The sequence below is a fragment of the Homo sapiens genome, chromosome 14, assembly GCF_000001405.40.
Source record: "Homo sapiens chromosome 14, GRCh38.p14 Primary Assembly".
NCBI lineage: Eukaryota > Metazoa > Chordata > Mammalia > Primates > Hominidae > Homo > Homo sapiens.
In genome coordinates this window covers 71,919,758-71,934,070 of record NC_000014.9, presented here as the reverse complement: position 1 = coordinate 71,934,070, position 14,313 = coordinate 71,919,758, and the positions used below count along the sequence as shown (strand labels likewise).

Below are 14,313 nucleotides of genomic sequence, written 5' to 3'. Positions count from 1 at the left end.
AAAGTTTCCCACCATAGTCCCAGTTCCCACTCTATGTAATTACCTATTTGCCTATGAAAATTGATATGTAAGAGCCGTGTTGTCAACACATTTAACTAAACCTAACAGTTTCCTTTCAGTCTTAACACTTTTTGACAGACCATACACACACAAACTTGTAGCTCATTCTCTAACTCCATTTTGATACTTACAAGCCCAGTTCTTCCATCTCTCACCCTCCCTGGAAAGAAAGTCCAGTGGAAGTTTTACCTAAACTTGATTATTTTTGCGTTTTTCTTTGGGGTTGTTAAAGGTATTGATCAGAACTCACCTCCCAAGCATTGATAATCCCAAGCCGACGAGACCCCAAATATCTTCAGTTTGTAACATAGAAATGCTACTGGTCTCAATGACAGAGAAGGAAAATAACGTTCCTACTCCGTCAAATTAAGAAACAAAAATGAAATACAGCAGCTTTCATTCTGAACAAAACTAAATTTTCTGGGTCACTTTCCCTGTCTCACTGGGCCACTTCTTTACGCAGCCTGCTGGTGACTGTAAACACGGTCTCTTCACTCCTCACGCAACCAGTTCATTTGTCATCCTCTCCAAGCGAATAGCCACCGCTTCCTTTGCTAGCGCAGTTCCCAAACAACAAACCTCCCCACCCGCCCCTGCCCTCCACACCTCACCGCGGAGACTCGCTTTCTTTTCTTCCAAACCACAAATGGGCGAGCTTGTTCAGGGAAAAAGTTAATGAACGCCTGATTAGAGGCAAAGCTGCCCTACCTGCGATCACAACATCGGAAGACTGGAAGTATCTAAAAGCGCCATCCTCTGCGCTCTCGTCCCCGTCGGTGTGCGCTTCACACCCAGAAACCCAGGAACATGATTTATATGCAGACCTGCACCCATCCCACACAAGTCCACACGCCAGCTTGCCTAACCACTTATGTAAGCTCGTGCTTCCACAGTCCCAAACTGCAGACACACACACACGGGCACCTGTCACGCATCTGAAATGGACAAGCACCCACACCCAGGAGATGAAATCAACACATATTAATGGGGTGGGGAGGGAGGATACTGTTTTAAACCATGTTTTTCCCCCATTTGTTTCTTGCCCATTTTTTATCACAACTACAATTACCTTAGCAACCAAAGAATTGCCTTGACTCTCCCTCTGGCTCCAGAATTTTTCCTAAAGCCAACCTTGCGCCAGGTTCATGATAAAGCTGGAGAAGCCCAGGGAACCGGGGACCGGCAGCCTCTTGGGGGCGGAGGGGAAGTCTAGTCCGTCTCCGCGCCGCTCCCCACAGCCTCGCCTCCTCTTTCCGAGTTTCCGTGGTGGCGAGCGCAGGGGCTCAGCGAGCGAAGAGCGAAGCCCCGGGCCCGCGAGGACGCGCGGCGGGTCGCATGGTGCCGGGACTCGGGGCGCACAGGGTGTCCCCGGCGCGCTCCGGGCTGGCCTGGCTCTCCGCGCTCCCAGGCGTTCGCCGCTTGCCCGCCTCTGCCCGCCCCGGTCGGCAAGGGTGCGCGGAGGTCTGTCCGTTCCCTCGGCGCCTGGCGGCTCCGGCGGCTGTAGGAACGCGGCGCCCAGGCGGAGCTCTCGCCGCCGAGCAGGGCCGAGCGCGAGGAGCTGCCCCAACTCGCGAAGCCGTTCAGCTCCGCGGCCCGCGAGCTGCTGCAGCGGCGCCCGCTGTCGGATGCCGAGCGGAGCTGCAGCCCCGTGCCCCGCGCACCTGGGCGCCGGCACCTGGGCCCCGGCACCTGGGCCCGGACCGCGTGCTGCAGGGAGGGGCCGGCGGGCGGGGACCGGCACCTGAGCGCGTCCCGCGGGCGCCGCCGCACGGCTCACCTGTTCCCAGAGCCGCGGAAGGCGCAGACCGTGATTTGCTCGAGGAGGAGAAAACCTAGAAATGCCTCATCCTCAAGAAGCCGCCGAGAAAACCGAGAGACTGGCTCGACCGGGCGGAGGCTGCTTTCGTCAATTCCAAACTGGCCCGGTCCGGAAACTTCAGCGGCGTCAAGGTTCTCTTAGGGATTCCCGGCCCGGGGTGAGGTGCCCGGCGGCTTCTGAATCTCCCTCACTGACGTGTTGCTGGCGCCCTCTAAATTAAAACGGGACACCGCGACCGTCAGCGATATTGTTCCTAACCTCGTCATTTTTATGTATTCAACATGCACACCACACGCTGCATTTGGAATATTACAGGATGATTCCTATCTGGAACACTACAAAAGAACTTTCGAGAAAAGTAACTCTCAGATATTCTTGGGGGAAGCAGAAAAAAGTCGAAGACAGAAAATGAGAAAGTAACTTGAACTGATGCCTTTCTTTAACGTGGGAGTTTTGAAATGCGATGTGTACTTAGATTCAAAAAGCTGCAGGTGGAAATAGGACAAGATCACTAGTGCTGGACGGTAACCGTGGGATTTGTGTGCAATATCAATGCTATCAATATCAAGAATAAATTTGAGATTTAGTCCTGAATTGTAGTATGTCACCAGAAAAGGGGAAAAATACTTGAAATAAAATACCTAAATGCCTTTAACGATGGATGACCTGGACTCCTCATTCACATGGGTCCAGAAGTTAAAGAGTAAAGTCTCCTTCCCAAATTGTGTCTTTTCCCGCCATTCTACATTGATTAATGGATGTATTCATTCTTTCCTTCAATAGACAAATAGCACCTGCTCTGTGTTAGACCCTCTTCTAACATTAGAAATGGATAATAAAGGAAGCAGTCTCTGCCCTGAAGCCTTCACGTCGAATGGGATAACACACAAGCAGACATGTGTGTTATGGTAGGCTTAGTACACAGAAAGGCGGGGGGTGGGGGGAAACCTGCAACCAAGAGAAACCATACCCAGCCTAGTGAGGAAAATAGAATTGTAACAGATGTCCCAGTTGTTTATTAAAGCTGAAATATAAAATCTTTCTTTCCTCAGGCTCAATACTTGGCTCAAGCCGGTTGTGGAGCTGGCTGTGGCCGTTTGTCACAGTTAAAGAATAGGCTGTACATGGAGCGAAAGGTAGCAACTAGGGAAACTTCCGCTTTGAGGAGCTCTGCTTTTTTTTTTTTTTTTTTTTTTTTTTTTTTTTTTTTTTTTGAGACGTAGTTTCCTTCTTGTTGCCCAGGCTGGAGTGTGGTGGTGCAATCTTCGCTCACTGCAACCTCCGCCTCCCAGGTTCAAGCGATTCTCCTGCCTCAGCCTCCCAAGTAGCTGGGATTACAGGTGCCTGCCAGCTAATTTTTTGTGTGTTTTCAGTAGAGATGGGGTTTCACCATGTTGGCCAAGCTGGTCTCAAATTCCTGACCTCAGATGATCCACCCGCCTTGGCCACCCAAAGTGCTGGGATTACAGACTTGAGCCACCACACCCAGTGGGAACTCTGCATTTCTGAGGCTAGCAGCTCCTTGAGGGCCAAGTACAGCATGAAGGAATAATACTGTGGAAGTATAAACAGCAGGCTCCAGGCTCATCAGAAGAAAGCCTTACTGTGTACTTCTCTTTAAAAAAAAATATGTGAAATCAGATATTTATAGGAATTAGATATGTATTTTCATATTGATACATTTTGTGTATTATATGGGATTCCTGATATATCTATGTAGTATGGTTTCTTATACATAAAATATCTGATTTCATATGTATGTGTATGTATGTGGGGGGTATTTTATATATATATGTATGTAATAGAGACAGGACACATTTTTTGCTGACATGGCCAAGAGATTGGTTTATGTGCTAGGGAATTGAGCAAAGAAGTAAATACATTAAGAAAATTGGAGCCAGTCATCTCACTGCTGGAGAAGGGAATTACCAATACAGAAAGGCAAGAGATCTAGCTATGTGCCTTGAAGTTGGAGATGAAGGTGTAAAATGATTTTGGATCCAAAGAGATTATAGATAGATAGACAGAAAAATATAAGTGTATATGTGTGTGTATATGGTGATATATTTCCTAGGTTTGTCGACTGAGAAGGCCTAAAAGCAATGGCACCCCAGTAGCAATGAACACACCTAACACTCAGACCTTGGTTTCTTAATACCATCCTCCACTGAAAGGAACCACAGTTCCTTGGTATAGTGGATGAAACTAGAATAATTTGTTGTGCAAGGAAATGAGAAAATACTTAAAGAATTATGGAGACATGTCAAAAGAAGACAGAAGTCAGCTTGAAGGGGTTCCTGTTGGCCAAATCTTGAACTATTTAAGGAGTAAAATAGTTAATGACAAATTTAACCCTTTGAGTAAAATAAGAGTCCATGAGTCCATGCTGATAGAAACAGAGAAGGGAACTCTATAGTAGAATGCGACTAATAAATGAAGAAGAAAAGATAGAATTAGAAAACCACCATTTGGCAACCACCATCTTAATAATTGATTCAGGCCAGAATCATCAATAAATGCTAAAATTGGTGGGTAAAAGTTTGATGAGGAACAGGATATTTACATAGTCTCAAAGCATATCTCTAAAAATGTTCATTAATACATCATTAATTATTAATAAGTACAGCATACTTATTAACATGCAGCTGTAATACTTGGGAGGTATCATCTTAATCGACTGGTAAAATTTTACATAAATGAAAACCAGTGATGGGACAAATCAGCCTTGTGCAGCATCCTGATATGATATGCTGAGAATGTAGTGTCACTTCTTATGCATAAATATGTAAGTTAGGATAAAACATCAGACAAATGCAAATTGAAAGAAAAATCAAATAACTGGCCTGTATTCTTTAAAAATGTCAAGACTATGATAGTAAAGATGGTTTCAGATTGAAGGATGCTAAAGAGATGAGACAACTAAATGCAGCATGTGATCTTGAATGGGATCCAAAACCTATAAATGACTTTTGTGGCACAATCAGTGGATTCTGTGGATTCAATGGATTAAAATGGATCATTGTTATTTTCCTGATGTTGTACTCAAGGTATGTAGTAGAGTGTTCTTGTTTTTAGGAAGGAGAAACTGAAATATGAAGTGGTAAAGGGGCATCACATCTGCAACTTACCCTCAGAAGATGGAAAGGGAGCTCTTTGAATTATTTTTATAGCTTTTGTAATTTATTATAACATTATTTCAAAATGAAAGGTTAAAAAACATACATTAAAGTATAAGTGTTCTTACCAAATTAAAAAAATTGTCTTCCCTTTTATAAAATGATCACCATGGGTTTATTTTAAGAATCAATTCATGACTGGCTGTACTAAAAATATGATTTGATCTATTACTTTGTGAATATATACAATAATGTGATTCAGCCCAATACTTTGTTCATTCATTCAGCAATTACTTATTAAGGGCACACTGCATGCAAGGATCCTGAAATTCATCTAAAGTATCAAGTGAAATAATATTTATAGGTAAAACCCTGATTCTTTTGATTACTTCATTATCAAGTGAGGAGTTGCAGGAAAATGTGTAATAGAATTGATTGGCGTAGCTCTCAAAACGGGTGATAAATTGAACAGAAGAATGGAAATGAGTTGGCAATTTAGTTTCAATAACTTCATTGACAGGCCAAGGTAGAAAACTATTGCGTCGATGCATTTGGTGCATGTATTGATATTGGTGGCTTTGGGGAGGATAATGAGTTTTGGGTCATGTGGCCCATTGACCAAGACTGCGCATTCATGACATTTGACAGCTGATGATACTTTTCCTCAAACTCCCACATTTTCTTATTTTCACTCTTAAATGTAGTCTTTTTCTGAGAGCTAAAGACTCTTTTCTTTGCATTTTGGCAATAAAAGGAGAAAAGATTCCAGGTCACTTTTGCTTCATGTTAAATCCTGAAAGAAAATAAATGCCTGATTAGACATGTTAGAAATTGGTTCTTTCAGAGAATGGCTCAAAGGGCACAGAATTAGTAACACCTGGGGTACTTATTAAAACTTAGCAATAAAGAGTCTTGAACAACCAGATGCAGTGGCACACACCTACAATCCCAGCTAACTCAGAAAGCTGAGGCAGGAGGATTGCTTGAGTCCAGGAGTTTGAATCCAGCCTGGGCAACATAGTGAGATCCTGTCTCTAAAAAATTAAAAATAAACAAAATTGGATCTGTTTCTTAAATAGATGGTAATCATTTCTGAGGTTTAAAAAAAAAGGATTCTTGGCCGGGCGCGGTGGCTCACGCCTGTAATCCCAGCACTTTGGGAGGCCGAGACGGGCGGATCACGAGGTCAGGAGATCGAGACCATCCTGGCTAACACGGTGAAACCCCGTCTCTACTAAAAATACAAAAAAATTAGCCGGGCATGGTGGCGCGCGCCTGTAGTCCCAGCTACACGGGAGGCTGAGGCAGGAGAATGGCATGAACCAGGGAGGCGGAGTTTGCAGTGAGTCGAGATCGCGCCACTGCACTCCAGCCTGGGCGACAGAGCGAAACTCCGTCTCAAAAAAAAAAAAGAAAAAAAAAGGATTCTTGAACTTCATCTCAGACCTGATAAGTCACGATTTCTAATGATGGAACCAGGGCATCTACTTTTGAACAAGAATTTGCGAATCACAGCCTGTGGGGCCCTTCCTTCATAGAATGCCCAGCATTTCTGTTACCACTAATTGCATAATCCCCATCTCAAGGAGACAGTATGGCAAGCAAATTGATTACAGTGTGAAGTGGATTTTTTTTTCTCTTTGCAATGTGAAGTGGATTTTTTCTGTTTCCAGTGTTAGCACTTGATCTACAGTTTTGAAAACCGTGTGTCTGAGAATGAATGTGTTTATATCACAGTGCTGGAATAGTTATGTTTTAAGACTTGGAAATAATGTTATGTCAGAGTGCAATGCATATTTACAAAGTCCCATGCTTAATAATCAGAATGCAGGGATGTGTATATGTACAGCCAATACAAATGGGATAAAATCTACATCAACAATAACAAGTTTTTAAAAACCTACACCAGGCCCCAAATAACCATGGGCTGCTGTTCATGCCAGTTGTTTGGACCGAGCTTCTTTACCTAGGCATCTCCTAGACACTCTCATCCACTGCCTTCCCAAAGCTTGTAGTCAGAATTATCACAGAATAGGCAGGTACACATGTAATATGACTTGAAAAGAGGACAGGTCTCCTTGACCAAAAATATCCCACTCTGTCCCCTTCCTGCTAGATGCTGGGATTTCCACAGTTGATTAGAATCAATGACAGGCATGTTTGGTTAGGACCATGGTAAATAAGCAGAGAATATACTTCAATAAGAAGGATCCTTTATAGAGTCAATATGTGTCCATTGAAACCCTATCAAAAGTCCTAGTCATATATGACCACAGGTAACCCAAAAAGCTGAGGACACTAAAATTGAATGCATAACACCCTGTAAAACAAGAGAAAGCCTTTTTATTAAGGAGAACTATATTCTAATTAATTTAAGTCCTTTTGCTGGTATTTAAGAACCAGAGTTCAACTCACATGGTATTGTCAACCCTCTTACAAGTCCTGTATTTTCCAACTCTTCATTGATACTCTTTTTTTTTTTTTTTTTTTCTGAGACAGAGTCTCACTCTGTCACCCAGCCTGGAGTGCAATGGCGCTATCTTGGCTCACTGCAACCTCCGCCTCCTGGGTTCAAGCGATTCTCCTGCCTCAGCCTCCCAAGCAGCTGGGATTACAGGCATGCACCACCACATCTGGCTAATTTTTGTATTTTTAGTAGAGACAGGGTTTTGCCATGTTGGCCAGGCTGGTCTAAAACCCCTGACCTCAGGTGATCTGCCCACCTCAGTCTCCCAAAGTGCTGTGATTACAGGCATGGGCCACTGTGCCCAGCCTCTTCATTGATATTCTAAAGAACATAGAAATGAAATTTGTAAGATAATTTGAAATCAGTATGCCTCCAACTTTGCTTTTTTTCTTCAAGATTGCTTTGGCTATTTAGAATCTTTGTGCTTCCATATGAGTTTTTAAATTGTGTTTTTCTATTTCTGTGAAAAATACCATTGGAATTTTGATAGTGATTGTGCTGAATCTGTATATCACTTTGGGTAGCATATACATTTTGACAGTATTAATGTTTCTAAATCATGAACGTGAGATATCTTTCCATTTATTTGTGTCTTCTTCAATTTATTTTTATCAATGCTTTATAGTTTTCTATGTACAGATCTTTTACCTCCTTGGTTAAATTTATTTGTAAGCATTTTATTCTTTTTGATGCTATCATAAATGGGATTGCTTTATTAATTTATTTTTGATAGATCATCATTGGTATAATGAAATGCAATTGATTTTTATGTGATTTTGTAAGCTGTAGTAATCAAGACAGTGTGATACTGGCATAAAAACAGACAAAAAGGCCAATGGAACAGAAGAGGAAGCCCGGAAATAAACCTTATAATATAATATAATATAATATAATATGAAGTCATCTAATTTTTGACAAAGGCACCAAGAAAATGCATTGTGAAAAGGAGAGTCTCTTAAATAAATGGTACTGGGAAAACTGGATATCCACATGGAAAAGAATGAAATTGGACCCTTATCTTACACCATAGACAAAAGTCAACTCAAAATGGATTAAAGACCTAAACATAGACCAGAAACTGTAAAACTCATAGAAGAAAACATAGGGGGAAAGCTCCTTGACATTGGCCTGAGCGATAAGTTTGTTGGATGTTATACCAAAGGCTCAGGCAACAAAGGCAAAAATAAACAAGTGGGACTACATCAAACTAAAAGCTTCTGTAAAGCAAAGGAAACAGCAGGGTGAAGAGGCAACCTACGGAATGGGAGGAAATACCTGCAAGCCTTATGTCTAATAAGGGGTTAATATTCAAAATACATTAGGAACTCAATTCAATCGCAAGAAAACAATCTGATTAGAAAATGAGCAAAGAACTTGAATAGACATTTTTTTAAAAGACGTAAAAATGGCCAACCCATATATGAAAAGAATGTTCCACATCATTAAATCATCAGAGAAATGCAAACCAAAGCCACAATGAGTGTCACCTCCTGCCTATTAGAATAGCTATCATAAAAAAAGACAAAACATAACAAGTGTTGGCAAGGAGGTGGAAAAAAGGGTACACTGTTGGTAGGAATGTAAACTGGTAGAGCCATTATGGAAAACGTGTGGAGATTCCCTTAAAAATTAAAAATAGAACTGCCACACGACCCAGCAATCCCACTACTGGGTATCTACCGAAGACAAATAAAATCCATGATGCTGAAGAGATATCTGCAGTGCCATGTTTATTGAAGCATTGTTAACAATATTCTGGTTATGGGAACAACTTAAGTGTCCATCAGTGGATGAATGGATAAAGAAACTGTTATTATGTAGATTTAGATACATAGACATGTACATTCCATATACATGGAATATTATTCAGGCTTAAAAAAGGAGATTCTGTCATTTGCTACTACATGAATGAAACTGAAAGACATTATTCTAAGTAAAATAAGCTACACATAGAAAGGAAAATATTGCATGATCTCACTTATATGTGGAATCTTTAAAAAGTCAAATACATAGAAACAGACAGCATAACAGTGGTTACCAAGGGCAGGTGGGGGGCATGGAAATGAGAAGATGTAGGTCAAAGGGGACAAAATAGCAGTTATGTAGGATGAGTATGTCTAGGAATCTAATGTATAGCATGAGGGCTATAGCTTATAATATTGTCTTGTGCACTGGAAATTTGCTAAGAGAGTAGATTTTAGGTGCTCTAACCAAGCACACCAAAAAGGTAACTAGGTAAGTGACGGAAATGTTAATTTGCTTGACTGTAGTAATGATACTTTACATATGCATATTACAACATCATGCTGTACACCTTAAACATAGAAAAAAAATTAATTACAAAAATACCAGCCTGGGCAACATAGCAATACCGCATCGCTACAAAAATTTAAAAAATTAGCTGGGCATAGTGGCACAAGCCTGTAGTCCCAGCTACTGGGGAGGCTGAGGTGGGAGAATCACCTGAGCCCAGGAGGCTAAGGCTCCAGTGAGCCATGATTGCACCACTGCACTCCAGCCTGGGCAACATAGCAAGGCACTGTCTCAAAACATAAATGAATGGATGAATGAATAATAAATAAATAATAGGAAGAAATTTCTGCCATTTCCCCAAACAAAATCCTCGGCAGATTACCTTGTATCTCAAGACAACAGAACTATTCCCTGCATAGATCACGAAGGTTTCCTGCAATGTCCTTTGTCCCATCTTGCACCATCTCCCAAGACCCAGGAGTAGTTTTCTCTTTAATCCGTAGAACATTTTAATGCCCCACCCCCCTACAAAAGTTCCCTCATTCCCCTTTGGATCCAATCACCTCCCTCCTCCCTGGCTCCTGGTGACTACTGATCTGTTTTCTGTTGCTATGGTTTCGCTTTTTCTAGACTGTCATGGAAATTGAATCCTAGAGTATGCAGTCTTTTGTGTCAGGCTTCTTTTACTTGACATGATGTCTTTTTAGATTCACTCATGATGTTGCACGTATCAGCAGTTCATACGTTTTTATTGCTGAGTAGTTCTTCCTGTACAGATATATCACAACTTTAAAAAAAATAGATATGAGGTCTTGCTATGTTTCCCAGGCTGGACTCAAACTCCTGGGCTCAATCAATCCTCTCACCTCAGCCTCCCAAGTAGCTGGGATTACAGGTGTACACCACCATGCCAGCTCTATCACAATTTTTTTAATCCATGCCAGGCTTCTTTTGATAACTATCATACTTCTGACATGCCCTACCCCTAGAAGGCCATGCTCCATTCATACTTTGCCTATGCACAGAATATATAGACTCTGTAATAGCCACTGTTTGTTGTCTACCACACCCATTCCCTTTCCCATCCCCATCCTGGACAATTCTCTACTCACACCTTCTTTGCTGGTTTATCCTCCTTCTAGAAGCCATGACTCAGAGAACACCTAATCCCACCTCCACTAGAGTGGATCTTCATTAGACTAAGCTAATCATGGCCGTTCCATTTCTGTGGCCATGATATGAAATTATGACCAATAAAAAATGAAGGAAAAATATGCTGGGGGCTTTTGGAAAAAGGCTTCTGAGCTTTTAGTCCTTGCTCTCCTGTTCTCCTTAGTCCTGCCATGTCCTGATTCTGGGATCAGGAACTTATTCACATAGGAACCCCAAAAAGCTCAACTCTAGCAAGATTTTCAATGGGTTTTCTGAAATGGAATTTTGAGAACTATAGCATCTAGGTTCCTTTTTTTGTTTTGTTTTGTTTTGTTTTGTTTTGTTTTTGTTTTTTGTCTTCCCATCACATTTACTTCTGTGGTAAACAAACAAAAAGAGCATGGTACAGTCTACAAAATACCTGGCCAGTACTGTTCAAAACTGTCAAGAACATAATAATTTTTTTAAAAGACTAAGAAACTAACACAGACTGAAGGAGACTAAGGAGATATGATAACTAAATGCAATGTACTATCCTGGATTGAATCTGGAACAGAAAAATGGCATTAGTAGAAAAACTAGTAATATCTAAATGAAATCTATAGTTTAGTTAACTGTATTGTACCTGTATCAATGTCTTAGTTTTTGACAAATGTACTATGGTTATGTAAGATGTTAACATAGGCCATGATGAAGACTTTGGGTGTTATTTTAGGTGTGAGGGAAAGCTGTTCGGGGTCTTTAAGCAAGAGACTAACACAATCATATGCATTATTCCCATTCTAGCTGCTGTGTTTAGAATATACCACAGGGGAGAGACAGTAAGGATTGTGGCTGTTGTGGTAATCCAGTATGGTGAGGGATGATGGTGTTTTGTCTTGGGTTACACTGATAGAGGAAAAAGTAATGAGAACCTGTCGAGTTCAGAATAACATTTAGCTGATAAAACTTGTTGATGAATTAGAAGAGGATTGTGAGAGGAAGAGAGGAGTCAAAGATGATTCCAACCTTAAAAACTTCGGAAAATGATACTGCCATTGACCAAAGTCAAGAACAACAAGATGGAGCATGTTTGCTGGAGAACAGCACTTGGTCTGGAACCCTGTTAGGTCTGACATATCTGTTGGGAGGTTGCATATTCATTTCAGTGCTTTGGGAGAGATGGGGACTAGGAATAAAAAATAGGTGGGATTTAAAGCCACAGAACTAAGAGAAATTCCCGTGGCAGTGACAGTGTCTACAGAGAGCAAAACAGGGTGAAAAAGCTTGGGAGAATCTGCCAACCATAAGCTATGTGTTAAACTACACACATGGACACAGACACAGATATCCTGATACAAGCCCATGGGCCCTTCCATCCTATCAAAAATCGCTTTTGTAGTCCCTCTTATGAGGCATTCAGCTGGGGCATCAGGAAGTGATGCTTTAAAAAACCGTTGTATCTGTATAACTGAAACTTTGTATCCTTTAACCAATGTCTTCCCATTTCTCCCATCTCCCCACCCTCTGGCAACCACCATTCTTCTCTCTGCTTCTCTGAGTCTGACTTTTTCAGATCCCACATATAAGTGAGATCATGCGGTATTTTTCTGTGTCTGCCTTATTTCATTTAATATAATGTCTGCCAGGGTCATCCACATTGTCCACATTGTGTTACAAATGACAGGATCTCCTTTGTTAGGGCTGGATAATATTCCATTGTATATTTCTTTATTCATCCATCGGTAGACATGTAGGTTGATTCCATATCTTGGCTATTGTGTATGATGTTGCAATAAACATGGGAGCATAGCTATCTCTTCAAAATACAAATTCCATTTCCTTTGGTTATATATCCAGTAGTGGGAATGCTGGGTAATACGGTAGTTCTATTTTTAATCCCTGGGGGAACCCTTTTTTTTAATCTTTGGGGGAACCCCCTTTTTCCATAATGGCTTTACTAATTTACATTACTACCAACAGAGTGCAAGAATTCCCTTTCTTCACACCCTTGCTAACACTTATTTTTTGTCTTTTCAATGATAGCCATTCTAATAGGCATGAGATGATATCTCATTGTGGTTTTGGTTTGCATTTCTCTGATGATTAGTGATGTTGAGCATTTTTTCATATACCAGTTGGCTATTTTTATGTCTTCTTTTGAGAAATGTCCTACTCAGGTCCTTTGCCCTTTTTTTAAATCAAGTTATTTTCTTGCTATTGAGTTTCACATATATTGTGGATATTACCCCCTTAACAGATAATTTGCAAAATATTGTAAATATTTTCTCCCATTCCATATGTTGCCTCTTTACTCTGTTAATTGTTTCCTTTGCTATGCAGAAGCTTTTTACTTTGAGGCAATCCCATTTGTCTATTTTTGCTTTCGTTGCCTGTGCTTCTGGGGTCATATCTAAAAAATCATTGCCCAGAAACCGATGTATTTAACCTGCATTCTAGTAAGACAAAAGTATTTCCATTAGATTTAATATACACATGAGCAGGCAGTTAGTATTTAAAATACCCCAACCAGACATACTTATTATTCTTAGGGTAACTGCCCCAAGTTGATCTTTGTGTGTGTGTGTGCACGCGCGTGTGCGCATGCAAGAAGGAATTCACAGAAAGGTTTTAAGCTCTTTTCAATTAACTCTAAGTGTTTTTTTAATTTCTATTTCTCTGCATTCTGACCTCTTTTTTCAGACAAAGTCTTTATTTCCTACCTCTTTCTCTTCAGTAGACCTCGACTCCATCATATACACTCAACCATCAGCCCTCCTCACCAGCTCCCTTGCTGACTTGTTCAGTGGGGTTTTCCTTCCATCTTGACTCCCCTCACAATGGGGACAACACAACTCTCCTCCTTTATATGTGATATGATTATTCTATAGCAGATTGTGAAGACAAAGGTGGCCAAAAGTAGAGCCTTTAGTAGATTCTTTGGTCTGGATGATAAAGCTGCTGAGCTGCCTTGGGTGTGATAACCACTAGCGCAGATTAATCAGTACCCCAGGCTCACCTTTTCCTCAGTCCTATGGGTAATTAATCTCAAAGACCTGCGTCTGAATTCACAGGTGTTAGAATTTGCCTAAATCTAGGGTAGGATGATTAGTTTACCCTGTTCATGTAAGGGTGAGCTGCCTGTGTAATATTGCTAACCTAGCTACATATATTGAACACCACTCATATCAACAATAAAAAATTCTTTATTTTATTTTATTTTATTTTTTTGAGACAGAGCCTTGCTCTGTTACCCAGGCTGGAATGCAGTGGCGTGATCTCTGATCACTGCGACCTCCACCTCCTGGGTTCAAATGATTCTCCTGCCTCAGACTCCTGAGTAGCTGGGATTACAGGCACATGCAACCATTCCTGGCTAATTTTTATATGTTTAGTAGAGATGGAGTTTCACCATGTTGGCCAGGCTGGTCTCAAACTCCTGACCTCAAGTTATCCACCCTCCTCGG

General features: G+C 41.2%; 2 protein-coding genes across 52 annotated transcripts in view, besides 2 other annotated features; both read right to left on the bottom strand.

Annotated features, from left to right (window-relative positions):
* The window catches only part of RGS6 (regulator of G protein signaling 6), a 762,695-nt gene that overhangs the window by 695,959 nt on the left and 52,423 nt on the right, over positions 1–14,313 (bottom strand). For 24 of the 51 annotated variants that reach the window (XM_017021825.3, XM_017021822.3, XM_017021827.3 and 21 more), the window contains exon 1: positions 1,130–1,642. The exons of 1 other annotated variant lie outside the window; for it this stretch is intronic. The gene's annotated coding sequence lies outside the window, so the exon portion shown is untranslated. Of the gene's footprint in view, positions 1–310; positions 545–768; positions 850–1,129; positions 1,643–1,837; positions 1,901–14,313 lie in introns of those variants that run through there. 26 more of the 51 variants (NR_135235.2, NM_001370278.1, NM_001370281.1 and 23 more) reach the window with 3 other exon arrangements.
* On the bottom strand, positions 1,181–2,145 carry LOC124903404 (translation initiation factor IF-2-like). Its single transcript, XM_047432046.1, has 2 exons — positions 2,046–2,145; positions 1,181–1,902 (listed from the first exon to the last, which is right to left on the bottom strand). The coding sequence occupies exons 1-2, from the start codon at positions 2,143–2,145 to the stop codon at positions 1,181–1,183; spliced, it is 822 nt and encodes a 273-aa protein (XP_047288002.1).
* Positions 1,394–1,553: a silencer, noted in NCBI's record as "silent region_5900". NCBI's record gives its function as "represses an Ori minimal core promoter by ATAC-STARR-seq in GM12878 lymphoblastoid cells {active_cell/tissue: GM12878}" and the evidence as "EXISTENCE:reporter gene assay evidence [ECO:0000049][PMID:35858748]".
* Positions 1,574–1,853: a silencer, noted in NCBI's record as "silent region_5899". NCBI's record gives its function as "represses an Ori minimal core promoter by ATAC-STARR-seq in GM12878 lymphoblastoid cells {active_cell/tissue: GM12878}" and the evidence as "EXISTENCE:reporter gene assay evidence [ECO:0000049][PMID:35858748]".